Genomic DNA, 27,473 nt, shown 5'->3' with positions numbered 1-27,473 from the left:
CTTGGTGTATTTAATTATAGTTGATTGACAGCCAGGTCTTTTTTTTTTTAAGCTTTAATTTACCAGGAATCAGGAAAAAAAATCTGAATATATTTTCAGGGTTTTAAGTAGGCAGATGACTCAGTGTTAACAAGCTTGTTTGAAAAGTTGCAAACACTCGTACAGTGACACATGCCACCATCCCCGAAGGCCCGCACATGGTGAGAGATTTGATACGACATGAAAGACCGAACTATGACCATAATAGGATTCATAAACAGGGACAAGAGTCTCACTACAACAGTACATAGGACACATGAGCAAGGTTTACATACCCAGTTTGGTGCTGACTTGAAATTAGCAGACATCCCATCCTTTACTTAAAAAATAAATATTAGGGATTATAATTCTAGACTTGCTGAATCCTCACAATGTTGCTTTGTGTAGATATCATGTAAGAAAGAGAGAAAGAAAAATAATTACACAAATGACTGAAAATTAGTTATTCACAATATTAAGCAGAACTGTCTTCTTGCAGGATGAGGTGCATGGCGAGATGTTCAGATGTTCCGTGATTCCTGGCACTGACACCACGGCAAGAATGTCAGACATGGTGATATTGTGTGGATCTGTGTCCCCGCCCAAATTTCATGTTGAATTTTAATCCCCAGTGTTGGAGGTGGGGCCTGGTGGGAGTGGTTTCTAATGGTTTCACATCACCCCTTTGGCGTTGTCATGGCAACAGTGAGAGAGTTATCCTGAGATCTGGTTGTTTACAAGTGTGCAGCAGCTCCCCCACACACCCCCCTTCTTGTTGCTTCTGACATGTAGGACACCTGCTCCTGCTTTGCCTTCCGCCACGAGTAAGTTCCCTGAGGCCTCTCCAGAAGCAGAAGCTGCTATGCTTCCTGTACAGCCTACAGAACCATGAGCCAATTCATTAAACCTCTTTTCTTTATAAATTACCCGGTCTCGGGTATGTCTTTACAGTAGTGCAAGAATGGACTAATACACATAAAGATATGACGTCTGAGAGTTTCAGGAAGCATATGTTAGGTATAGTACTTCTCAACACTTAAAAAATTCTATGATCTTTGTGTTGTGTTTAGGATTGGAGTGGAAGAAAAAAGAAAACTGAGAGTCTGCTTTTAATTTAGAAAACACACCACATTGGAAATTGCCTAACCCGAGATATCTTGTCTTCTGTTTTTTTTTTTTTACATAAGTTATATGTATAATAATGAGAAGTGAATACACAAAGTTAGATTGACACATACAAATTATATGTATATTTTAAATACAATTATAATGACAGTTTTAGGTGTAAATTATTATAACGTAAAATGTTATAGAATGTGGTCAAATAAATTAAACGAAAATATAATACTAGTTAGTAATTAGTATATCCCTTAAGAAACTTTAACATACACAGCATACTTCTTTACATTAATAATTTACTTACCATACCCTTTATGGGGAATATAAAGGAAAACTTTTATTAAACTCATACATAATTATAGATTTGCAGTAATGTATTTTTAATCCATAACGTGTCAAATAAGTCTCCTGCAGCAAGCATTATAAAGACATTTTATAGTCTGCACCAACATTTATCTCAGGTTATTCATAATAAATAATTGTTTCATTTTATTGTTACTTAACACTTTTTTAATAGTTGCTGTGTGTCAGGTACTGTTCTTTGTGCTTTACAAATATAAACACATTTAATTATTACAACAACTCTCTGAAGTATTATCCATATTATCCATGCTTTACGGATGATGACATCAAAGCTCAGAGCAGTTTTCAATAACTTGTTCAGGACCACTGACCTGGAAAGCGGTAGAGCCAGGATCCAGATTCAGGCAGCCTTGTTTCAGAGTGATGATTCTTACCCATCAACAGAAATGTCTCATACTGTATTCTATTATCACCCTCTGTTCAAATCAGAATGAAAAGTGAAACTTCAGATCTCTGCTCCAGTGCGTCATGATTAGCAACTATCCCTGAATGTTTGACTTAATAAAATATTAATTCTTACAACTCAATCTCAATTTTTGTTTGGGATGACTGCTTGCCTTTTGGGGAAAATGCCCAAGTTTTATATATCCATTTTATCAGAGGATACATGTGGGTTTTTTAAAAAGTCAAATTAAATACACTGATATTGAGGAGGCCTGGGATTGCAGACTAAGAGATTAGCTCCAGGCCTTTGAGCATGTTCTTTCTTCTGCCTTCTCCTGTCTCTTTACAGAAATGCTTTCTGCTCATTTTTTTAGGTCTCAGTTCACCAGTCACTGCCTCAGAGAGGCCTTTTCTGACTCCCTATCAGAACTCAACCTCACCCCATGCACACACACACACACACACACACACACCCCATCGCTGCCCACCACAGCACCCTGTTCATCATACTACTACTTGCTGTATTCAATTATGTTGTAGATTCCCTTTCTCTTGTCATCTTATCCCAATATAAGTCCCATGATGACAGAGTCTTGTCTGTTTTACCCATCTCAATATGTATCCTTATTGTCTAGGCACATGAGCAATACTTGGTGAATATGTTTCTTAATATTGGAATGAAGAGGTTGGAAAGTAGAATTTCACAAAGCAATACTAGCACTTACTGCAAGAAATGAAAGAGACAGAAAAGTAAGAGATAGGAGTGATGTGGAACACAAATGCCTGTATTGAATCAAAAGTGCCTAAGCATTCATCCTCTTCACGAGTTAATCCTCAAGCACAGGAACATGGGAAAACTGTTCAAGTAACTTTTCAGGGCAAGAGATACACCCATCTGGACATTAAATCATAACATCTGAGGACTTACTGATCTCTAAAAGAAAGGACATCTTTCTTGCTAAATTTTCTACTTTGTCCTTAGCTTAAATCTGTTTCTTTTCAAACAAAAATAGGTAGATGTCATCTTTCTTTTAATAATTCTTAAAAGAGTAACTATCCATCGCAGAAATCTGGTCATCTTCTCTAGCCTGAATGAGTCCAGCCAATTCTGCTTCCTTACATTTTATTTTGACTAATCGTCTAGTAAATCTTGGTGGCATGTCCTCTATTGATTTTCATGTTAGGGCTTTGAGAAAGAAGAAGTGAGAATATCATGTAGTTACTGTCAGCTTGTGTAAACCAAAACCCTTCTCTTTTTTTGCCTTTAGCCTTGCCTTTGAGATTTTGTGGATTTGTAGTATTGCACCTCCAAGGCTCCTTTGAGATGAACAGTCCAAAGCGAGCAAACATTTTCACTGTTTGCTCTGAAAATTATTTCGATAAGTTCTTAACAATATGGTATTCCTGAATTTCCCAATCTGTGGAATTGGTATCTCTGGGATTAACAGACTATGACTCCCTTCATGTGCCCTCTTAGGGTTAGGAACCCCGAATGAACATTTGTTTTTCAGATTTACTTTCCTTCTTAGAGACAGCTAGAATTGATTTTTTTTGTTACTTTTCCTTCCAGCAACTATTGACTACCTTTCTTCAAATATAATCAGTCTTCTCTACAAGTTAGTGAAAATAAAGTGAGAGTTTGCATTCTATTATTTCCAGAGTTGCAACTCCCCTCCTTAACAGTTTATCTCCTGACTTAAGTCAGCCATTTTAAATGTTAACAAGGTATTATGAGGAAGGGCTGCTCTGGGCAAGAAAAGATAAGCGCATTTACGGGAGAGAATAGCCATGGTACGACAGAATCATGACTAAGTGTATCTGACCAGTGGAAGTGAAGAGAACGTTTTTTACATTTTTGTTCATAAGCATATTGGATATCATTAAAAACTAAATTTTAACCTTTCCTATTATCTGAAAAGACAACTAAAGTAGGAAATATATAATATCTATTACAAATGGCAATAGAAGAAAGATATGTAATACATATAGTAGTGTCTCAATCTCCAAGACAAACAAAAGTTCTTACAAGTCTCTTAAGTCTGAGCAGGTCGATTTTTTTAATACCAAAATGTCAGGTTCAGGATGAATATATATAGATTAGAAATAGTCTTGTATAATAAAGGGCTGTTCAATTATATTGTATGCCCTTTTATTATTAAAAAGCATTTAACATAGTTAATTAATGTAACTATTGATTATCTACTATGTGTTGAGCATGATTCCAGATGCCATAAATACAACAATAATTATCAAAATCCCACTCTCGCTTTTTAGGAGAAAGACATGGTAAACATAAATAAGTTATATGGTATGTAAAAATATGATAACTGCTGTACAATAATGAGTAAAGCAGGAAAAAGAGTATCAGAAATGTAAGTGTGGAAACAGAGAGGCAGGTTGCAATTTTAACTAAGGTGTTCAGGGTAGTTCTAACTATGAATGAGAACCAAAACATGAAGAAGATAAGGGAATAGTCAAGCTACTGTCTGCGGAGGAACAATTCCAGGCAGAGGGTACTGCTACAAAAGGCCCTAAGGCGGGAACATACCTGGCCTATACAGGGAAACAGAGCAGAATGATGTGGGGAGAATACAAGCATACCATTTTTACTGTCTTTTGCTTTAGTGTGCTTCACAGATATTGCATTTTATACAGTTTGTAGGTTTATGAAAACCCTGCAACTACCAAGTCTATAGGCTCCATATTTTCAAAAGCATTTGCTCACTTTGTGTCTCTATGTTGCATTTTGATAATTCTCACCATATTTCAAAACGTTTTCATTATTATATCTGTTACGATGATCTGTGATGAGTGATCATTGATGTTAACTATGGTAATTGTTTTGGGGCGCCATAAACCACACCCATATAAGACTTAATAATTGTTGTGTGTGTGTTCTGACCGCTCCACCAACTGGCCTTTCCCCTTCTCTCTCCCTTTCCTTGCGCTTCCCTATTCCTCCAGGCACGACAATAGCAAAATTGGGCCAATTAATAACCATACAATGACCTCTAAGTCTTCAGGTGAAAGGAAGAGTCTCACATCCCTCATTTTAAATCAAAAACTAGAAACGGATAAGCTTAGTAAGGAAGGCATTTTGGAAGCCAAGACAGGCCAAAAGCTAGGCCTCTTGTGACAATTATCCCAGTTGTGAATGCAAAATAAAAGTTAACAAAGGAAATTAAAATTGCTACTCCAGTGAACACATAAATGATAAGAAAGCAAAACAGCCTTATTGCTGACATCGAGAAAGTTTTAATGGTCTGAATAAAAGATCAAATCAGCCACAACATACCATTAAGCCAAAGCCTAATATAGATCAAAGCGCTAACACTCTTCAATTCTATAAAGGCTCAGAAAAGTGAGGATGCTGCAGAAGAAGAGTTTGAAGCTAGCAGAAGTTGGTTCATTAGATTTAAAGCAAGAAACCATCTCTATAACATAAAAGTGCAAGATGAAACAGCAAGTACTGATGTAAAAGTTGCAGCCAGTTATCCAGAAGTTCTAGCCAAGATCATTGATGAAGGTGACTACACAAAACAACAGATTTTAATGTACATGGAACAGCTTTTTATTGGAAGACAATGCCATCTAGGACTTTCACAGCTAGAGAGGAAGTGCATACCTGGCTTTGAAGTTTTAAAGGACAGACTGACTCCCTTGTTAGAGGCTACTGCATCTGTTGACTTTAAGCTGAAGCCAATGTTTATTTACCATTCTGAAAATCCTAGGACCCTTAAAATTTATGCTAAATCTACTGTGCTTATGCACTATAAAAGGAACAACAAAGCCTGGATGAAAACATCTGTTTATAGCATCATTTACTGAATATTTTATGCCCATTGTCGAGACCCCTTACCTAGAAAATATTATTTTTGAAATATTACTGCTCTTTGACAATGCCTGGTTACCCAATAACTCTAAAGAATATGTACAAGGAAATTAATGTTGTCTTTATGCCAGCTAACACAACATCCATTCTGCAGCCCATGGATCAAAGAGTAATTTTTATTTTCAAGTCTTATTATCTAATAAGCATATTTCCTAAGGCTAAAGCTGCCATAAATTGTTATTTCTCTGATGGATCTGGGCAAAGTAAATTGAAAATCTTCTGGAAATGATTCATTATTATAGATCTTATTAAGAACATTTTTAATTGATTGGAAAAAGTCAAAACATCAACATTAACAAGAGTTTGATTGAAGTTAATTTCAACCCTTATGGATGACTTTGAGGGCATCAAGACTTCAGTGGAGAAATTAACCGCAAATGTGGTGGAAATGAGAATATAACTAGAATTAGAAGTGGAGATCGAAGATGTGACTGAATTCCTGCCATCTCTTAGTAAAACTTGAATGGATGAGGAGTCGCCTCTCATGAATAAGCAAAGAAAGTGGTTCCTTGAGATGGAAACTACTCCTGGTGAAGACGATGTGAACATTGTTTAAATAAAAACAAAGGATTTAGAACATTCCATAAACTTCGTTGATAAAGTAGTGGCAGGATTTGAGACACTGAACTCCAACTTTGAAAGAAGTTCTACTTTGGGTAAAATGTTATCAAATAGCATCACATGCTACAGAGAAACCTTTTGCAAAAGGAGAGCCAATCAATGCAGCAAGTTTCATTGCTGTCTTATTTTAAGAAATTAACACAGCCACTCCAACCTTCAGCAACCAAAATTTTGGTCAGTCAGTAGTCCGTAGCCATCCACACGGAGGTAAGACCCTCCACCTGAAAATAAATTATGACTCACTAAAGGTTCAGGTAATTGTTAGCATATTTATCAATATGCTATTTTTAAATCAAAGTGTGTACATTGTCTTTTTAGACATAATGTAGTTGCACACTTAATACACCCAAGTATAGTGTAAACCTGACTTTTATATGCACTGGGCAACCAAAAATTTGTGTGACTCATTTTATTATGACATTGGCTTTATTATGGTAGTCTGGAACCTAACCTGCAGTATCTCTAAAGTATGCCTGTATTAGAAAATGAGGTCAGAGTGGTAACAGGAAGCTGTGGGAAGGTTGAAGGCAGGACTAGTCATGGCACAGGCTTCGGGAAAACCAGAAAATTCAAATACAGAGAGCTTGTTGGAATGTTTGTCCTTTGCTCACCCTGGCCTGATTCAGTAAAAAGTCCTTCAGCTGGCCACAAGGTCATAAAATTGCTATGACTTAAACTTTTTAATTTTTCAGAATGGGTACACATCAGCATAGAGATTCCCAGTATTTTGTGATGCACGAAAGTGGTCAGACCAGATAAAAATATCACAGAACCCTCTACTGTTGGTTAAGTAACATACAATTTCTGCTTCTTATGCTTTTCCTAGGAAGAAGGAAAACAACCAAGCAACAAACAAAATGACAACTACAACAAAAAATTACTTCCTTCAGGAGGCTCACATATTAAGCCCTGCCAGTCATTTTACATACATGTAAGTTACTGACTCTGTCAGCACATTCCCTAAAAGTCTGTTCTAGGCTGAGTCACTAAGGGCTAGTTTTGATAGATTCGATGTAAGTGCAGGAAGCAAATGGCCTTGTGAGGTATTTCTCAAAGAATATAAAAACAGTCCTGAGAGGTCAAATGCATTAAAGATCAACATTTCAGTTTTAGAATCCTGGCTGCAGTCTGAACATGTGACCCCCAAATGGTCTAAGTTAATAACTTCATCTTCCCAGCATGAACATTTGTTAAGCCTTACTGATCACTTAAGCATCTTTCCTCATGCTTGCTCAAACTTTCCTTAATATTAGTCCTCTGAAATAAAACATATATGAAAGCTACTCATCAATCTTCAGTTGGATTAAAAGACCTCTTCTAACTATTATGGTGATGGAAAGGTGAGATGGAAGATAAGCAAATATCTTGCTTTTGATAAAACAGGAAACCCAAATTCAGTGACCAACTGGGAAGATGACCTCTAAGGTTGAGTAATTTGATACAAGCGAGAATTGTGAAGCTGTGCTAGGATCAGATGGTTTGATATAGAAAAGGTGTTCATTATTCACAGGAGACATTCAAACTGGCAGATTATCTAACATACTGCCCGATATGTCATCTTTTCATTTACATTTGCCAATGTAGAACTTTTTCTGAGACCTCTGATTTTTAGAAAACAGTGAGATTAAGAACCTCTTTCCCACTTTTTTCTTCCAGAAAAGGGTTTACTGAAAAGAACCACACACCCTTCCCCACATGACTGAATTGAGACACAGAGGACCTTGTTTTACTTAAGACCAGACCAGACAACAGAACTGTCAAATTTCCGTTTGTTTTCTCATAAATGATTAACTGAACTGTTTGTAGCCACTGAACAATTTTATAAAAATATCTGCTAACTTGACTTGGTCAAACTTTAAATTTCTATCCTCCCCCCGCCCCAACCACCACTGAATTTTTATTTTTTATCCTCCCTCAGCCTGAGCCAGCATTGGAAGGCAAAACAAAGCCAATGTAATGGTTCCTTCCAAGAATAGGCTGACCTTGACCCCAAAGAGAAACACTTCCTTTCCAGCTCAAGTGTCTGATAGAACTACCCACTCATCCCCTCTACCATATTTTGTTCTCTCTAGCCTTGCTTATGTCTCCCTATAAAATAAAATTCTTTTCTTCATGAATCTTGGGATACTTGTAGACCTTATAGTTGAAGTGTTCTCCCTGTTGCAATAGTCTCTCTCATTTTATTGCTAGACTCTACCACGGCTTGTGGCAATAATCTTTTCAAACAAAGTATCTTCTCATCTATATACACATATGATGTTTATCTGTCACATGTAAATAAAATGTAACAGAATTCTGGGAACATAAAGTCAGAGAAGAAAATATTATTTTCTTGATTAATACCTAGTGTTTGTCCAATCCTATATTAGTAAATTCTCAAATTGCTATAAAGAAATAACCTGAGACTGACTAATTCATAAAGAAAAGATGTTTAATTGGCTAATGGCTCTGCAGGCCATACTGGAAGCGTGGCAGCATCTGCTTCTGGAGAGGCCTCAGAGAGCTTTTATTCATGGTAAAAGGCACAGCGGGGCAGGCATCTTACATGGCAGGAGTAAGAGCAAGAGAGAGTGAGCGGAGATGTGCTGTGCTATTTTTAAACAACAAGATCTCATGAGAACTCACTCACTATTGTGAGAACAGTACCAAGGAGATGGTACTAAACCATGCGTGAAGTATCCACCCCCATGATCTAATCACATCCTACCAACATTGGGGATTACAATTGAACATGAGATTTGGGTCGGGACACAAATCAAAACCATATAAAATTATTTGCTAATAAATAAACTGATTTTTGTCTGCTGGGTTTTCTGGGTTTTTGAGGGCAAAAGTATGTGTGTGTATGTGTGTGTGTGCGTGTGTGTGTGTGTGTTTTAGTGCATTCATGCCTCTGTCTTAGGGTAGGACTTTCTAGAAAAAGCTGGGTGAAAACAATGAAAAAAATAGACATACTCTTGGCTACAGGTGTTAATGATCCTTGTCCTGTCACCTCAGACCAAGGGAAACACAGGTCCTGAGGGGGCAAAGCTTAGGCTTTTTTCATGTTTATAGTAATGAACTCCAATTTTGAAAGAAGTTCTACTTCGCGTAAAATGATATCAAATAGCATCATATGCTACAAAGAAACCTTTTGCAAAAGGAGAGCCAATCAATGCAAGTGCAATTGCGGTGCGGTTATTTTGGGTTATTTTGGCTAGGTTTTAATATATATATATAAATTTCATTTGTATAACAATTAAGCACTTAAACATTACATAGCAATTTTAGTGATATTTTGAGCCATTTTCTTTCTAATTTTTTTTTTAAAAAACAATGTCTCAAGTTTACCCAATTAAGGATTACATGCAAAATATTTTATGGGGTGGCTCACATAATTTGTTATAAATTACTTTTCACAGGAAAGCATGACAATATTATGATTGCAGAAGGAATTCTAGCATGTGTATTTCATGAAAGATATTTTTTCCATGGGCTTGTATACTAAGTTCAATTCATTTCAAGGGTTTAAAAACATTCATTTTCAGAGCCCTGCAATTCAAGCACCATGTTGCCATTTTTCTCGTTTTGGTTACAGTATCAAACTCTCTAAACCCTCAAATCCTATTTCATTTCTTGTGACATTTGTTATATTCCTTAGTTAATCTTCTACTTAGCTTTTGTAATATTCTTTTGCAGACTTTTGACATTAATACAGCTGAGTTTAAGGATCCACTTCAGCTGCTGTCAGATATTTCAAATTTACTTTTACACATGGGAATGAAGATCCTCCAAATTTGCTTTAATTTGAGGAATTATTATTTAATTTTGTGAAAGTTTTCCCAGAAGTTAAGACAAAAAAGAATTTAAATCAATACTCAGAAATGTCAGAACCTAGAATTATATGTCAGTTAGGCATAAATGTGATTTCAAAAGGCCACTTAAACAAACTAATTATTGGCCACCAAATGGGAATGTATTAAAATAAGTGAAAACACATAAAATCGGTATTATCCTTACTCTCAAAAAGGTTGACAAGGGCAAAATCAAAGCAAAAAGTAATTAAATTACACCCAAAACAGTATATGAAGACTAACAAGAAGCATCCAAAGTAATCAATTTGCTTTGATGAGACTGGAGCCTTTTATTCTGCTATATATCTATAACACAGAAAACAAACCACTCTGGCAAAAGAAAAGGTTTGGCATCAAAACTGTCTTTCTCTTTGTTATTATTGTTAGTTGATAACTCTGTCCCTATAGTACTGGCAGTAGGGAAGAGTACTCCAGAACACAGGCTCTGAAGACAGACTATCTACATATAAATCTTGGTGCCTCACCTTACTTGCAGTGTGACCGTGGTTAAGTTATTCAATATCATTGCACTATATTTTTATCATCTGTAAAATGTACATCAAACCAGCCACTTGCTAGCATTGTTGTGTAGATTGATTGAGTGAAGAAATGTAACTCACTCAAAACAATGCCTAACTTGTACTGAGCCCTCAGTAAAAGTTGGCTAACCTCACTGGTGTATCCCCATTCTTTTATCCTAGACTGAGTGAGGCACATAATAGAAGGAAATTAATAAATATTTGGAATTGCAAACAAGTTTAGATTTTAGCAATTTCAACATTTACGTTGTTTTTCAAAGTGTGGAGACAAATACTTAAAAGTAATAGAAGTAATGTCAGCAAAAATAACAGATGAGGGAACTCTAAAACAACTTCACACAAAAGCAACAGAGTATATACATATATATACACACACACACATACACACATATATGTACATATGTATATATATGTGTGTATATATATGTATATGTGTGTGTGTATATATATCATATATAGATATATATACATATACATATATATGTGTGTATATATATATATATATATGAGATGGGATTCTGCATTATGGATGTTGGCTGAGTTCTGCCCAGTGTTTAGAGAACTGAGTTCCAATGCAAAGTCCAACAATTTGTGCACTCTGTCTCTCAAAAACACACAGATTCTTTCACCTTGCCATCCAGCTGCTGCCAGGGGAATGGAGAAAGAGTGGTGTCAGCAACTGAAAACTGTTTTTCTTAACTTCTTCAGTGCCTCTTTCAGCAATATGAAGTTAATATCAGATATTATGATTCCTTCACCTGATTTTTTGTTCTTTTGAAGGTGCTTTTTTGGTAGGTAGTTGTTATTTTGGTGGTCCTGCAGGGAGGACAGTTGGTAGAGGCTGCTATTTAGCCAGGTTCCTCCAGTTCCTGGTTCCAGATAAAATTTCCTGATCAAAATTCAATAATTATAGATTGTAACACTAACATATCTGAAAAATCCCATGTGTTTGGAATGTATTAAACAATTTTCCAAATATTTGCATGAAAAAAATAAACAATAAGAGAACTTCATTGAGTAGAGCTGAATGATAATGAATATTCAACATTTTTCATATATAAATTAATATAGAATACAATACAAAGATATATCAATATCATTATACTATGAAAAGATTCAAGCCATAACTGAATGAGTTAAATGTATTTCTGAAGGTATTATAAAAGTAACAAAACAATAAATATAAAAAAGTAAATAATAAAAATTACAGCAGATATTAATAAAATAGAAAACAAAGTAAAACAGGAAGAATCAATAAAGCCAATAATTTTAATGCATAAAAAAGAATAATAACAAACCTCTGCTAAGATTGAGCAAGAAAAAAATGAGAGGTAGAGTATTAATCTAAAGTTGGACACAAACACAAATACAGAAGAGTAAAAGTTATTAAAAGTGAAAAATAATACACTTAAAACTTACATGCAATAGACTAACATCTAGAAAACTATAACAAGGTATTAAAGAAATTAAGTGAGTTTAAAATATTCCTGAATATAAAAGACCAGGACTAGATTGTTTTACAGATTAGTCCTGCAAAATTTTCAGGAAACAGGTCATCCCAATATTACACATTTTCTTTTACAAAGAGGAGATAAAGAGTGAATACAGGCAATTATGTTAAAGTTTAGCAATAATTATTAACTTTCTTAGTAAGAGGAGCTATTATATACTGTGCATGTTGAGATAACAGCTTTGGAAAGAAAGTTTAATATGTGTATAACAGAAAACTCAGAAATTCCACTCATAGATATAGTAAGACCTAGAGTAGAGCTTCTCTATCTGTGCATTACTTACATTTGGGGGCACGTACGTCTTGGTTGTGGAGGCTTTCTTATGTATTGTGGAGTGTTTAACAGACTTCTTGATCTCTGCTCCATTGGTGCCAGGAGCATAGTAGCAACCTATCCCCAACCATAATTACCAAAATTGTCTCCAGACATTATGAAATGTCCCTTTTGGGGGCAAAATTGCATTACTAATACTCTTGCACATGGAGAATAGTGTTCACAGTAGCATCATTTGTAATAGTAATACATATGATTTTAATAAATGGTCAGTTGATTGATAGATATTGATAGATATTAATATATATTATGTATTGATATATACCTATATCTCTCATGAACATGAATAGATAAAAGTATGTCACAAAAATGTATGCAATATAATACTATTGATACACAGTTTAAAAGTACATCAGGTATGCATATCTGCACAGTAAAACTATACCAACATACACGTTCATAATAAACACAAAATACTGAATAATAGTTAATCTTGACAGAGGGATGAGGGGAGAAGGATGTGATTGTGGAGAGGTACAAAGTGAGGGTTCAACAGTTATAATTGAAAACTAAATTGAAAACAAACATAATTGAAAACTGGTGCTTATGACAGCCTTTGTTTTACAATTCGTTAAACCTTAACTTACATTTTGTATTTTCTTTTTTGTATGAAATATTATATAATTTTAAAAATACCTGAAGTCAAAAATGAAGAGTTGATATAGCAGAGAATTTAGTGTGTGTCTGATATACATTAGTCTAGAACAACTGTGTGCCAATAACCCCTTAGAATTTTTATTTTGATATATATAGAATATAATAGTTGTATATGAAACATTAAAATATTTTCAAAATAAAGACAAAAATGATGTCCTGTACCATCGTTTTAATTTATAATTTTTATTTTTTTCCATAGGTTTTTGGGGAACGGATGATGTTTGGTTACATTAATAAGTTTTCAGTGGTGATTTCTGAGATTTTGGCACATTCCTCATCTGAGCAGTATACGTCGCGCCCAATGCGTAGTCTTTTATCCCTCACCCCTTTCCCATCCTTTCTCCCAAGTCCTCAAAGTCCATTGTATCATTCTTATGTCTTTGCATCCTCATAGCTTAGTTCCTACTTGTGAGTGAGAACATACAATGTTCGGTTTTCCATTCCTGAGTTACTTCGCTTAAAATAATGATCTGCAATTCCATCCAGGTTGCTGCAAATGCCATTTTTTTTCCTTTTTTTGTGACCGAGTAGTACTCCATGGCTATATCATGATTTTTAATAAATCATGTAGGCGTACAAGAATCTCATCATAAGTTAGTAAATTAAAATATGCTCTGCTTTTATTCATTTATTTGGTAAATATTTATTTTTTTAACACCTACTATGTGCCTGGCATTGTTTTAGGTACTTAGGATGCATAGGCGAAAAGCAGATATAGGTCACTCTCCTAATGAACATTTATGTAAAAGAGACAGGCAACATACAATAGTTATCAAAAAATAACTGTTTTGTAGTTAAATATTACACGTTGTAATTTGGACAGCTTTAGGAATGTAGCAATTCATAGTAATTATACTATGCATATTTATAATATTTTATGGACTACAAATCACTGATACACAGGTTATTTTTAAAGCCCATGACTGGTGATGCATACAAGTGAAGTACTGATTATTATCCCCATATTTTATAGGCAAGGACACTGAGTCTTACAGTTTGTCACTTGCATTGATATTGTTAGGCTTTGAGTCCCCACCCAAATCTCATTTTGAATTGTAATCCCCATAATTCCTATGTGTCGAGGGAGAGACCTGGTGGGAGGTGATTGGATAATGGGGGCAGTGTCCCCCATGCTGTTATCATGATAGTGAGTGAGTTCTCGGGATATCTGATGGTCTGACAGTTCCTCCTTCACATACTCAGTCTCTCACCTGCCGCCATGTAAGACACGCCTCTTCCCCTTTCTTCACGATTGTAAGTTTCCTGAGGCCACCCCAGCCATGTGGAACTGTGAGTCAATTAAATCACTATTCTTTATAAATTACAGTCTTGGACAGTTCTTTATAGCAGTGTGAGAACGGACTAATAAATGCACAAAAATCAGTTAGTGGTATACAGCCCAACCTAGAATCATTTTTATATGAAAATGGTTACAGTTATTCTCTAATACAAAAAAAAGAGAGAAACAAACCAGAGTTTCTCTTTCTCAGACTTCCAGTTCATTATGCATAAAGACATCCTTGGACAATCTTAGGCCATTTTGATACACACAATTTATCAAAAGAGGACTTTTTTCATTTAAAAGTCATGGAATTTTATATTTTATTTTTTAGGATGTCATCTTTAGAAATCTTGACATAAAAGTCATCAGCAGTTTGAGGGAGACGGTTTTGCAACAGCAGTTTCCACTGACATATTTTTGGATCAATACAAATTAACTCAAAAAACAGATAACACATTCTGTCACTGTGTGCTTGTCAATTAATAGTACTCTTGAGAGTTAGATTAGTTCAGTATTCATGGGGAGAATTAATGACAGAATGGCCTTGTTACCCATTTGAAAGTAAAAGTTAGTTTTCCAGTCTCACTCTAATAAATCTGTGTTGGTATTTTCCATGGACATTCTCGTGAGCTCCAAATAGGATATTAAAGTGATGGAAAACGTTTTGAAACCATCGGTAGTAATTACACATATAAAGTTATAATATCATCATTGGTTATTCTAGAGAGAGTACATTTTACATGTGAAAATATAGACACCCATCACAAAAGGAATAGTACCTTCTGAGATCAATGTTCTCTAGTATCCAAAGCAAATTTTGAAGGTAACTTTTGTTTGGAAAAGATGATGATATTTCCTGTGTAATAATAAATAAGGCTCAAAACTCAAGTCTGTCATTCATTACTTATAAGTGAAGATATTAGATCTAGTTTTCAATCTTTGACCATTCAGAGTCATACAACTGACCCTAATTTACACTTCCAATTTCATTTTTAACTGTTCATTTGTTTGCAACTTTACCCCCAGCAAACTGATCAAATTACTGTCTTCTGACATGATTTGTACCTTTATACCTCCATGCCTTTTTGTCAGAACACTCCTGTCTGACATAACCTTATCACTTCCTCCCCAATTCATGCCCCTACTGTCACTCTGACTCTACCATTTCCACCTGATAAAAGCCTAAAGCTTCTCAAAGGTGTTAGTGCCATATCATTCCTGGACACAAGGTGTGGATTTTTCATTTGGCACAAGTCCAAACCATCTACTGTTAGTGTCTTTCCAATCTAAACTGGAAGAGAATTCTATACACCTCACTAAGCATCATAGGTCTGCGGTCATTTCTTCTTGGATAAGGCAATACTGTAACCTTCTAACTTGTACTTCCTTAACCAGTAATATTAAAACATTATCCCATAATCCACCCTACTTTTGTCTGTAATTCTTTTCACAATTTTTCGAGTTAATATGTAGGCTATCTCTAATTATGTAACCATTCAGTACATGGAGAAGAGATGCAAGTGCCAAGATGTCTAGAACAGCCCAGAAAACTAGAGTGCTGATTACTAGAAGATAGTCAGAGGTGAGGTGCTTATGGGCAGACAGCAAATATTTCTTAACTAAGGGCTTTAAAGTTGCAGTGGTACACAGATTTATCTCATCCTTCCCAATAATGGAAGGGATTATGGTAGTGTGTTATGTGGGGTCTGAAAGTGAGAAAAGATTGTGAAATGTAGAACAAATAATTTCTTGGAACTTCATAAACCTTGGTCAATAAGCTACATTATTGAATAATCCTAAGTTGTTGCCTGCTTTATCTTTCTTGTGGCAGCTTCATGAATGACAACTTTGCTCCAAAAACAGTATCATGAGAATAATAAAGTCTCCCAGGTTAAAGCAAACCTCAAGGGTATTTGACTGCTTTGAAGTTTTTTAAGGGCTCCAAAACACTGCTGCTGCTCAAAAAGATATCCTGACACTGGCAACCTATTGCTTTGTAGTTACTTGGTTACACATCTTGTTTCTCTTCTTACATTGTCAACTTTGGGTGAGCTTTGATGTAGAATGAAATTTCTGATTTCACCAACCTGATTCCTGAGACTTATTTCCATAATCATGGACTTAGTGTGTACAGAGACTAGATAGCATAAATTATGGGTTTTGTTGATCCAATTTTAGTAATAGATTTCTCTTACAGAAAAGGAGTATGTAAAAATCCTCTATCAAGTCTAGTGATGGTTATTTTCATTGTCAGCAAGGACTCTTGGAAGCATAGCAGTAGCCTGTCCTTGGCTCTGCTCTTCAAGGTAATATCTAGTTTCTGTGACCCTATTCTTGCCTCAGTTAAAGACCACTTTATAATTTGAAGACATATTAATTTGAAGTTTGAACATTTTAAATTAAATAATATTAGTAAAAAACCACACTGAGAAAACTGCCATTGCAGTTTTATACTTAATATTCTATCCTCCAGACATTTTGAATTTGACAAAGAGGGAATCCCTGTTTTCGGTGGGATCTGGATCAGGGCATTCCTCTCAAAGCTTCTCCTGACTTCATAGCAGAAGTCCAGCAGATGATTGCTAATCTAGTTACAATTGCCCTGTCTCAGAACTCCGCATAGTTAGAAGAACTGAAAGGATGCCCTAGAAATCTTTGCATATCTCGTGATAACCCCTCCCTTCACTGTCAACATTCATTTGATCATTTAGCTGATGATCATCAAAACAAATGACTTTATGCCCATTAGTTTGGTTTACAATAACTATCACAAGAGGACCAGGACTGCTCAGGATTCTAACCTACCTATGCCTCTGGGGCTGAGAGGAAGCCTCCAACCTGCATTTCTCTTCATTCCTTACTTTATTTTTCCCTACATGTCACAGAATGATACACTACTTTTTTTTTTTTTTTTAAGACGTTGTCTTGCTGTGTCGCTAGGCTGGAGTGCAGTGGCGCCATCTCGGTTCACTGTAACCTCCGCCTCCTGGGCTCAAGTGATTCTCCTGCCTCAGCCTCCCGAGTACCTGGGACTACAGGCGCACACCACCACGCCCAGCTAATTTTTGTATTTTTAGTAGAGACGGGGTTTCACCATGTTGGCCAGGAGAGTCTCAGTCTCTTGACCTCATGATCTGCCCGCCTTGGCCTCCCAAAGTGCTGGGATTACAGGTGTGAGCCACCACACCCGGCCACACACTACATATTTTGCCAAGCTATTTGCTTATCTTTTCCTGTGGGCGGCAAGCCACCCAGATGCCGAGGCAAGAGACCAAGGACACGAGCTGTTCCAGTATAATAAAATATAAAACAAGAATCGTTATGCCAGATATAGATCTTAGATATGATTATATATGAATATAATTAATCATTAGTTAGTAGTACTTATTCTTTATTCCAATATTATAATAATCCTTGCTCTATAATCATAACCCAGAAAAACCAGGACATACAGAGATAGGAGCTGAGGGGACATAGTGAGGAGTGACCAGAAGACAAGAGTGAGAGTCTTCTGTTATGCCCAGACAGGGCCACCAGAGGGCTCCTTGGTCTAGTGGTAATGCCAGCATCTGGGAAGACGCCTGTTGCCAGGCAGACCGTGGTCTAGCGGTAGCCTCAGCGTCAAGAAAAAACACTGGCTACTTAGCAGACCGGGAAAGGGAGTCTCCCGGTCCCTTTCCACGGGGGGAGTTTAGAGAAGACTCTACTCCTCCACCTCTTGTGGAGGGCCTGATGTCAGGTCCACCCGAAGTTGTCCGGAGGCCTAACCGTCTCCCTGTGATGCTGTGCTTCAGTGGTCACGCTCCTAGTCTGCCTTCATGTTCCATCCGGTACACCTGGCTCTGCCCTCTAGATAGCAGTAGCAAATTAGTGAAAGTACTAAAAGTCTCTAATAATGGTGTAAGTTGTTTCTCTCTTTGTCTCCTCTCTCTCTCGGCCTCGGCTGCCAGGCAGGGAAGGGCCCCCTGTCCAGTGGACACGTGACCCACGTGACCTTACCTATCATTGGAGATAACTCACACTCTTTACCCTGCCCCTTTTGCTTTGTATCCAATAAATAACAGCGCAGCCAGACATTCGGGGCCACTACCGGTCTCCGCGACTTGGTGGTAGTGGTCCCCCGGGCCCAGCTGCCTTTTCTTTTATCTCTTTGTCTTGTGTCTTTATTTCTACACTCTCTCATCTCTGCACACGGGGAGAGACCCACCGACCCTGTGGGGCTGGGCCCTACATTTTCCCACTAGAAGGAAGGCAAGGTTTTTGTCTACTTTGTTTACTACTGAATTCTCAGAGCCTAAAATAGTAAGTGTTCAATAAATTATTGTGAAATTAATGGATGACTGTCTCTTCATAATAAGGTAAGCATAAAGGCATGAGTTCTCTGGAGGAAGGGACTCTCCCAGTCTTCTCACAGCCTCAAGTCTATAGCATCTAGCATTGATTGGACTTGCACAAGTGGTAGCTTGGCAATTTGAGTTTAATTATTGTTGTCAACATTTTTGTCCTGTATTTCTCACATTACTTACCAATGCTTTGCTTATTTATAGTATATATTTAATGCTTTTTTGTTGAGTAATAGATAAACACTTGTTTCCTAAATTCATTTACCATGGCCTAGTTGGGGTTTATTCTAGTACATAGGTAATTCCAAGACTTTTAGGCAACACATCTGCTCTACAGTACTTTGCATGAAGTTGTTCAATGGATATATTTATAGTGCTTATCTCTACTCTTGGCACACATACTGTGAATGACATAAAATAGATGTGTTGTCAATATTTGATGCTGAACTGAAGGTCAGGATAAATAATGGCTCCTTTGTTCTTCAGACCCTTTCTGTGAAATCCAGATCAAGTCCTCTCTCTTTTCTCCATCCGGTAAACCCACTGTCAGGTTTAGAACATTGCTCACTATTCTTTGTGAGCATTGCCAGCTTTTATTTACATGCTGGGTAGCCTCCTGCACTCGAAGTTCTCCATGAAGTACTCCAGTTTAGGAGGCAGTCAACTGTGCATTCACAAATAGTACCAACAAAAGAGAGAAGCGTACAATAAGAACTTTAAAATATCACCTTTGAAACTTGTTCATTTGTTTTGGTGTTAGAATGCAGGCATCACAGAGACAGGAACTTATCTTTTGGGGACTTACAGCACAATTCACCAGTGGCTCTATTCACCAATATTTGAGGAAAAAAAATGCTGGTTTTCCTTTCTCTTCACAAAGAGTTAGTTTCTTCTTTAGAACCCCAACCTTATTATACCAAAGCATTTAAAGGAGTGAAGTGGATTTCCCTGTTACGTGTATGTGGTATTTAATAGAGAGAACATCATTTTGGAATATCCTGCCATAATAACATCAGAAAAATTGCATTGTGTGAAGAAAAATAAGCTTTGAGCTGAGTTCCAGTTGCCAGATGATCAGTTCTTGTTACTTCCTTAGTAATATGCAGCAATTATTTTCACTATTTTCCCAAACCATTATTCTTTAAATTCTTTTTTCTAAACATGAAAACATTTATGTTTTAGATAAATAGGGCTATTACAGTCTATTTTCTCTGGCTGTCATACTACATTTTTAATTTTTCTCAAAGGACTATATTTTGCCTTAACACACTCTAATATGACCTTTACCTCTTTTTCATCAGAGTTTTGCTTACACAGAACAAATTCAAACATTTTTCATTCTTTCTCTGTATGGGCATCATTTTATGCCAAATCATTGGATTCTATCAATATTTTCTCAGGGCATTTATTAATTCATCCAATAAAAATCTACTGAGTACCAACGATATTGTAGGTACAATGCTAGGAGAATTTTTTAAAGATACTGGGTGGGGGGACATTCCCATTAAGAAGCTTTTAGTTTAATAGAGAATATCAATGTTTCAGAAATAAATGTGTTAAATTAGTGTAGACAGAGAGTAGAGTTACAAAGGTCAAAAGATTACCTTTATTTGGAATGGGCATAAATTAATGATAAAGCTAACTAATAAATGCTAGGTAAGTTGTCCCAGAAATAGAGAGGTAGGTGGAGTCTGTGGTGCAAGAAACGGAATGGTGAGAGTTATGGCTGGAGATGTTATCATAAAGGACTTTGTGTAACACAACAAAAACTTTGAACTTTATTGCCCAGGAAAATGGATTGATGAGTCTGAAAATTTTACCAGTCTGAAAAATACATTTGAAAATAAGAAGGCATAAAATACCTAGGAATACAGCTAACCATATAGGTGAAAGGTCTCTACAATGAGAACTACAACACACTGTTCAAAGAAATCAGAGATGACACAAATAAATGGAAAAACATCCATGCTCATTGATAGGAAGAATCAATACTAAAATGAACATACTGCCCAAAGTAATTTATAGATTCAATTCTATTCCTATCAAACCACTGATGACATTCTTCACAGAACTAGAAAAAATATTTTAAAATTCTTATGGAACCAAAAAAGAGCCTGAATAGCCAAGGCAACCCTAAGCAAAAACAGAAACAAAGCTGGAGGCATCATGCTACCCACCTTCAAACTATACTACAGGGCTACAGTAACCAAAACAAGATGGTACTTGTACAAAGCCAGAAACATAGTTTAACTAAGGAAACAAAATAGAGAGCTTGAAAATAAGGCCACACACCTACAACCATCTGATCTTCGGAAAAGCTGACAAAAACGAGCAATAGGGAAAGAAACCGCTATCCAATAAATGGTGCTGGGACAATTGGCTAGCCATGGGAAGAAGATTGAAACTGAACCCCTTCCTTACACCATATACAAAAATCAACTCAAGAGAGATCAAAGATTTCAATGTAAAACCCCAAACTGTAAAAAACCCTGGAAGACAATCTAGGCAATACCATTCTGGGCACATGAATGGGCAAAGAGGTCATGACAAAGACACCAAAAGCAATCGCAACAAAAGAAAAAGTCGACAAATGGGATCTAATTAAAACTAAAGGGCTTCTGCACAGCAAAATAAAGTACCAATAGAATAAACAGACAACCTACAGAATGGGAGAAAATGTTTGCAAACTATACATCTGACAAAGGTCTACATGTGGCAAATAAGCATATGAAAAAAATCTATATCATTGATCATTAGAGAAATGCAAATAAAAACTACAGTGAGATACCATCTCACACCAATCAAAATGACTATCATTAAAAAGTAAAAAAATAAACAAATAAATAAATAAATAACAGATGCTGCGAGGTTGTGGAGAAAAGAGAGAGCTTATATGTTGTTGGTGAGAATATAAATTAGTTCAACCAGTATGGAAAGCAGTGTGGTAGTTCCTCAAGGAGCTAAACACAGAATTACCATCCTACCCAGCGATCCCATTACTAGGTGTATACCCAAAGGAATATAAATCATTCTATCCTAAATACGCATGCCACCCCTATGTTCATTGCAGCACTATTCACAATACAAAAGACTTGGAATCAACCTAAATGCCCATCAATGATAGACTGGATAAAGAAAAAGTTCATATACACTGTGGAATTCTATGCAGCCATAAAATAAAGGAATGAGATGATGTCCTTTGCAGAACATGGATGGAACTAGAGGCCCTTATCTATAGCAAAGTAATGCAGGAACAGAAAAATAAATACTACATATTCTCACTTATAGGTGGAAGCTAAATGATGAGAACACATGGGCACATAGAGGCGAACAACATACACTGCGGCCTGTCGGAGGGTGGAGGGTGGGAGGAGGGAGAAGATCAGGATAAATAACTATTGGGTACCAGGCTTCATACCTGCCTGAGGAAATAAACTGTCCAACAAACTCTTATGACATGCATTCACCCATATAACAAACCTGCATGTGTACCCTTGAACCTAAAATAAAAGTTGAAAAAAAGAAAATAAGCTCATTCTGATGGCAAGGAGATAAAGCAAGACTAGAGGAAGTGAGAGTGTTCCTCTTGTAATAGTTCATACAACAAATGATATCGATGTAAATAATTTTTATTTTGTTTTCTGTTTCTAACTCATCATCACAACTATTTCACGGTTTAGAAGCAATAGCTGAGATCTGCAGGAAGGAGCAGAGATGGTCAGTAATGGTGGGGGAGTCTTGATTTGCATACAACATCTCCAAATGGAGCAATTTAGCCCTCAATGCCATTGTTTCTCATGCCTCATATAGCCAATGTTGTGACTGAGGGTTTTCCTAAAGAGTTTCTTGAAGAAGTCCTGTGCATCTTACAGTTCTAGCTTAAAAGTCTAGGTGTTAGATCACCAGGTCAAGCCCACGTATATGACTGATTTCCGGCGTTACTAACATGGTTTTTTTTTTTTGTTTTTGCTTTTGCTTTTAACTTTCTAACTCCAAGAGGGAAATGCTTCAGTGATTTCAAGATTGAAGGGAACATTTTGGACTACATAACTGTGATACTGTGCTATCTCCACTGGCAGCTGTGGAATGTGAAGAGGAGAACCTGGCACAGATTTAAGTAATAACGCATGGACATGGTGTTGAAATACAGCAGGCAATAATATTACATGCTTTGCCTGATTGCAGCTTTTGCAGCAAACAGAGAGGTGGTTTGTTGAAATTTGCCAAAGTTTTACATAAAATATGACCACTCTTGGTAGAGAGTTGGTCCCAAGTATATCGTATCAAGCCAACAAAATGAAAGGAGAGTGAGTCCAGTAAATAGTAACTGCTTTCAGAAATATCTTCAAGAGGACAGTTTTCTCATTTCAGAACATTCTGCTTGGCAAAGGTGAAACAAATGTTTTTCAGCTCTTCTCCCATCGAGTCAATTAGTACAAGCTCTACCACACCTTTTACAAAACCTATTTTTTGTTCATCATTTTGTGATTACCCTACTAGACTGTGAGCACTTGGGATAAAAAACGATGTTTACTTGCTGTTGTGTTCTCCGGTATCTAGGATACTTTTTGGCACGCAATGACCATATCAGAATAGAAAAATGAATGTCATTCATTTGATCTCTATTCAATTTTCTATAATATATATTTTACTAAATGATAGGTTTGCCTTTTTATCACCAGACAAGTGTGCCTGATAGGGGCAGAGATCATGTCTCTATTCCTCTGTATCTGGCACAGAGCAGATGCTACATAAACACGAATTGACAAATGTATGAATTAAATGTTACAATGATCTCTTCGGCAACTAAATTATCAAAAGAGAGACAGTGATTTCACTATTATCATTATTATGACATTATTATATTCAGATTCTGGTAAACATTGGACAAATTGGAAACAGAGTCCAGTGTTGACTATGTAAAATCATACTCCAATTAACTATATTCACTTCTGCCACATCTTTTTTACAAGTCATAGAATAGAGCTGTTCTGTTCAATTTCAATTATTGAAATAATCTTACTGGAAATTATTAGCTACTGAATAAGAAAGTAAGCTTATGGCCGGGCGCGGTGGCTCACGCCTGTAATCCCAGCACTTTGAGAGGCCAAGGTGGGTGGATCACGTGGTCAGGAGATCGAGACCATCCTGGCTAACACAGTGAAACCCCGTATCTACTAAAAATACAAAAAATTAGCCGGGTGCGGTGGCAGGCACCTGCAGTCCCAGCTACTCGGGAGGCTGAGGAAGGAGAATCACTTGAACCCGGGAGGCGGAGGTTGCAGTGAGCTGAGATCATGCCACTGCACTCCAGCCTGGGCAACAGAGCAAGACTCCATCTCAAAAAAAAAAAAAAAATGTAAGCTTACTAGTTTCCATTACAATACTTGCAGTATGCACACACGTGCATGCACATGTACACACACTTCTTTCTAGTCCTAGAACATTCTTTGATTTTTATTGAGTTCCTAAATAGGATTTTAAGGACACAGTAATTAAGTTTAGCAAGTAAATTTATTTCAAAATATAACCTTAAAAATTATACAAACATATTTTTGAAGAAAATATATGTGCAAAAGTATGACATTAAAATCCCTTATAACCCCACTACCCAATTATATACCTATACTGATAGCCACAATAAAAAATAATATCATAACTATGTACTATTTGGCAACCTGCTCTTTCACTTTTTTCTAAGCTACCAGATATCTGTACTATCGTATAGTATTAAGAGCCTGGGTTCTTAACTAGACCCAGTTTTGAATCTGGAGGCAAATCATTTGTTCTTTTTGTTTATCCAGTTTCTCATTTACAATACGGAAAAATAATTAGCCTTTACTCCTGTTATAAAGAGTAAATGAAATAATGCAAATAAGACAAGTAGCAAATAATTAATAAATGTCAGCTACAAACTTTTTGTTATTATATGATATTTTTGGAACATAACACATCCCAATTTATTTAGCTAGTCCAAAGGCAATCAAACCAACATCTAAGTTGTTTTCGCTTTTTTTCAATATTAGAATAAAATTATATGATAAATACCCTTGCACATTTATAGGTGCCTACATGTCCACTTGTTTTTATACAATATATTGCTAGAAGTAAAATTGTTGAGACAAAGGGTATGAACATTTCTTAGATGTTTAGTTTTGCTATATTGCTCTGCAGCCTGATTGTCATAATTTACACAACAACCAGCAGGGTGTAAGAGTGCTCACTTCCCCATGATTTTGTCAGCATTGAATACTTGTCATTAAAAACCCTGCCAATTCCATAGAGGAGAAAATGTATCTCTTGTTTTAATTTGCATTTTTATTACTAGTGAGATTTATTGACCATTTGTGTTTCTATTTTGTATCTCCCTGTTATATCTTTTGCCCATTTTTTTCTCTCTATATGAGCTTTTTTTTTCTTACACAAATCTTTTATTAAGATTTTATACCTTGGATTTTATATACATGGCAAAATTGTTTAGGCTTGTTTTTATGATTTTAACTATTTGTGGTACTTTGATAGGCAGATATGTTAATACATTTGAGTGACTAAAAAGAAACACTCTTCAGCAAATTGTGTTGATATCAGACAGAAACAGCCTAAAAATTTCCATGTACTGTAATTTTCAATGTATTTTCCCAAAATTTTCCCTATATATTGGGAATATTTTAAGTCAAACAGAACCTACATAATTTACTTGTACTGTTTTCATCTATTTTATCAAAATGAATAATTTTGTTATAATATGGCTGCTAGCTCATCATACTCTTGGCATTAACACATCATCGGGCCAAGTTAAATACCAAGGAATAGTCTTCCAAAGAACAAGGCATTTATCACCAAGTTCATCATAATTGAATCTGGCCGTGCCAGCACTGACACTTTACATTTTGGTATAGCAAAACTAACTTCTCTACTCTGTCTATAACAGCAACATCTTGTAGTACACCTAAAATGAGTTTTCAACCATAATCCATTCATTCATTTGTTCAGCAAATATATACCGGGCTTTTGCCGCTCTCCCAAGCACTATGCTAGGCACCAAATTAAAGTCACAAACAAGACAGGCAATATCCCTAACTTCATAGAGCTTATAATGTTTTACAATTACATAAATTGCATAGAACAGACTTTGTTTAAAGATTAGAAGGACAGACAAAAGAAAATGTAAAACAGCTCTTGGGTTTCCAAGGGCTTAATTTAAATGTACATTCACTACATACCAAGTGATATTCTATTTGTTTCATACACATATATATTGAATAATTTCATCTTCCCAATAAGCCTAAGAGAAAAGTACTATTAAATTAAACCCATTTTACAGATATGGAATCTGAGACTTAGAGATGTGAAGTGACATTTTCAATGTCACATAGCTAGAAAGTAGAGAGGCCCAGTTTTAAATCTAGTGAGTCGGCTTCCTGAGTGCATGCTCTTAACCAAAGGTGCTGGACTACCTTTGGAATATGGTGCTACGTTTTCCTATTTTCACATGATACATATTCTATATTTATTTCATGACTTTTAAACGTTTTTAAATTTATGATTTAAAAACATTACTTTATAATGCTTCAGAGCTGATTTAATATGAAACACACATAAAATAGTCATTCTCTTTATTTCTTGTGCCTTCCTTGAAAGGATTCTCTGCTATAGCTTTTCTTAAAAGTATTTGTAACAATTCTACTTTTGAATACCTATAACAATTCCAGCTGCCACATCCCTAGCTTCCTTAGGTATTCAGAACACAAATGAAAATCGGATGTAAACAAACAGACAAACAAGCAAAAACCTTCAGTAGCCAAAAGAAATGTCAGGAAGTTTATTCATGAAGGAACATTCTAGGCTCTTATTCAGAGCCAGTTTAACATTAGACAGAATTATAATAAGCTTTAATAAGCTGCAGTAGATCGAACGTAGACGGGGGTTGTAAAGAGAGCATTCTGACAGCCTGACTAGTATGAATAATACAGGAAAATCATAAATATGTCATGGAAAAAAGTAAAGGATATTTTCTGAGGCTACTTAATATAAAGACAAACCATCATTGCATAATAACCAGGAAAAATGATTGAAGTTTATGATGATAGCTCACAATCATTAATAAAATGTTTGAGTTTAGTCATTTTTGTTCAAAATATCAGTGGACATGCATTAACAATGACATCTGGTTAAAACCAGTGTTGATGATGATATGTCAAAAAAATTGTTCTCACATCAAGTACATTTAGATAAGGGAATATGGCAATATTTGTCAAATACATTGGAATTCTCTAATTCGTTTGCTCTATAATGAAATTTAATATAAAGCAAAATTTAATTTTTCCTTAAAATTTTAGTGTTTTCTAGGCTTCTCTGATTTTAACTAATCCTGTTTTTTAACTTCACCTCATGACTCAAAGTGTCATCTTTTATGAACAAGAAATAGCTATAAGCCTCATCTGCTGTCCTGAAGTTATTTAATATGCCAAGTTCTGAAGCTGTAAAATCATATATAAGACTGTAGTTGGCAGTGGCTATTCAAATATAGCTTACCAGTAATCTTAGGTTCATGATGAAAAATATCTTGTTGCTAACT

General features: G+C 35.9%; 1 long non-coding RNA gene across 1 annotated transcript in view; it reads right to left on the bottom strand.

Moving 5' to 3' along the window:
* Positions 1 to 314: 314 nt before the first annotated feature.
* The window catches only part of LOC105373345 (uncharacterized), a 78,282-nt gene continuing 51,123 nt past the window's right edge, over positions 315 to 27,473 (bottom strand). The window contains exons 2-3 of the long non-coding RNA XR_938605.2: positions 1,812 to 1,916; positions 315 to 416 (exon numbers count right to left, since the gene is read on the bottom strand). This is a non-coding gene — a long non-coding RNA (uncharacterized LOC105373345). The remainder of the gene's footprint in view (positions 417 to 1,811; positions 1,917 to 27,473) is intronic.

Source organism: Homo sapiens, chromosome X (assembly GCF_000001405.40).
Source record: "Homo sapiens chromosome X, GRCh38.p14 Primary Assembly".
Lineage (NCBI taxonomy): Eukaryota > Metazoa > Chordata > Mammalia > Primates > Hominidae > Homo > Homo sapiens.
This window is presented reverse-complemented; position numbering and strand designations above follow the sequence as displayed.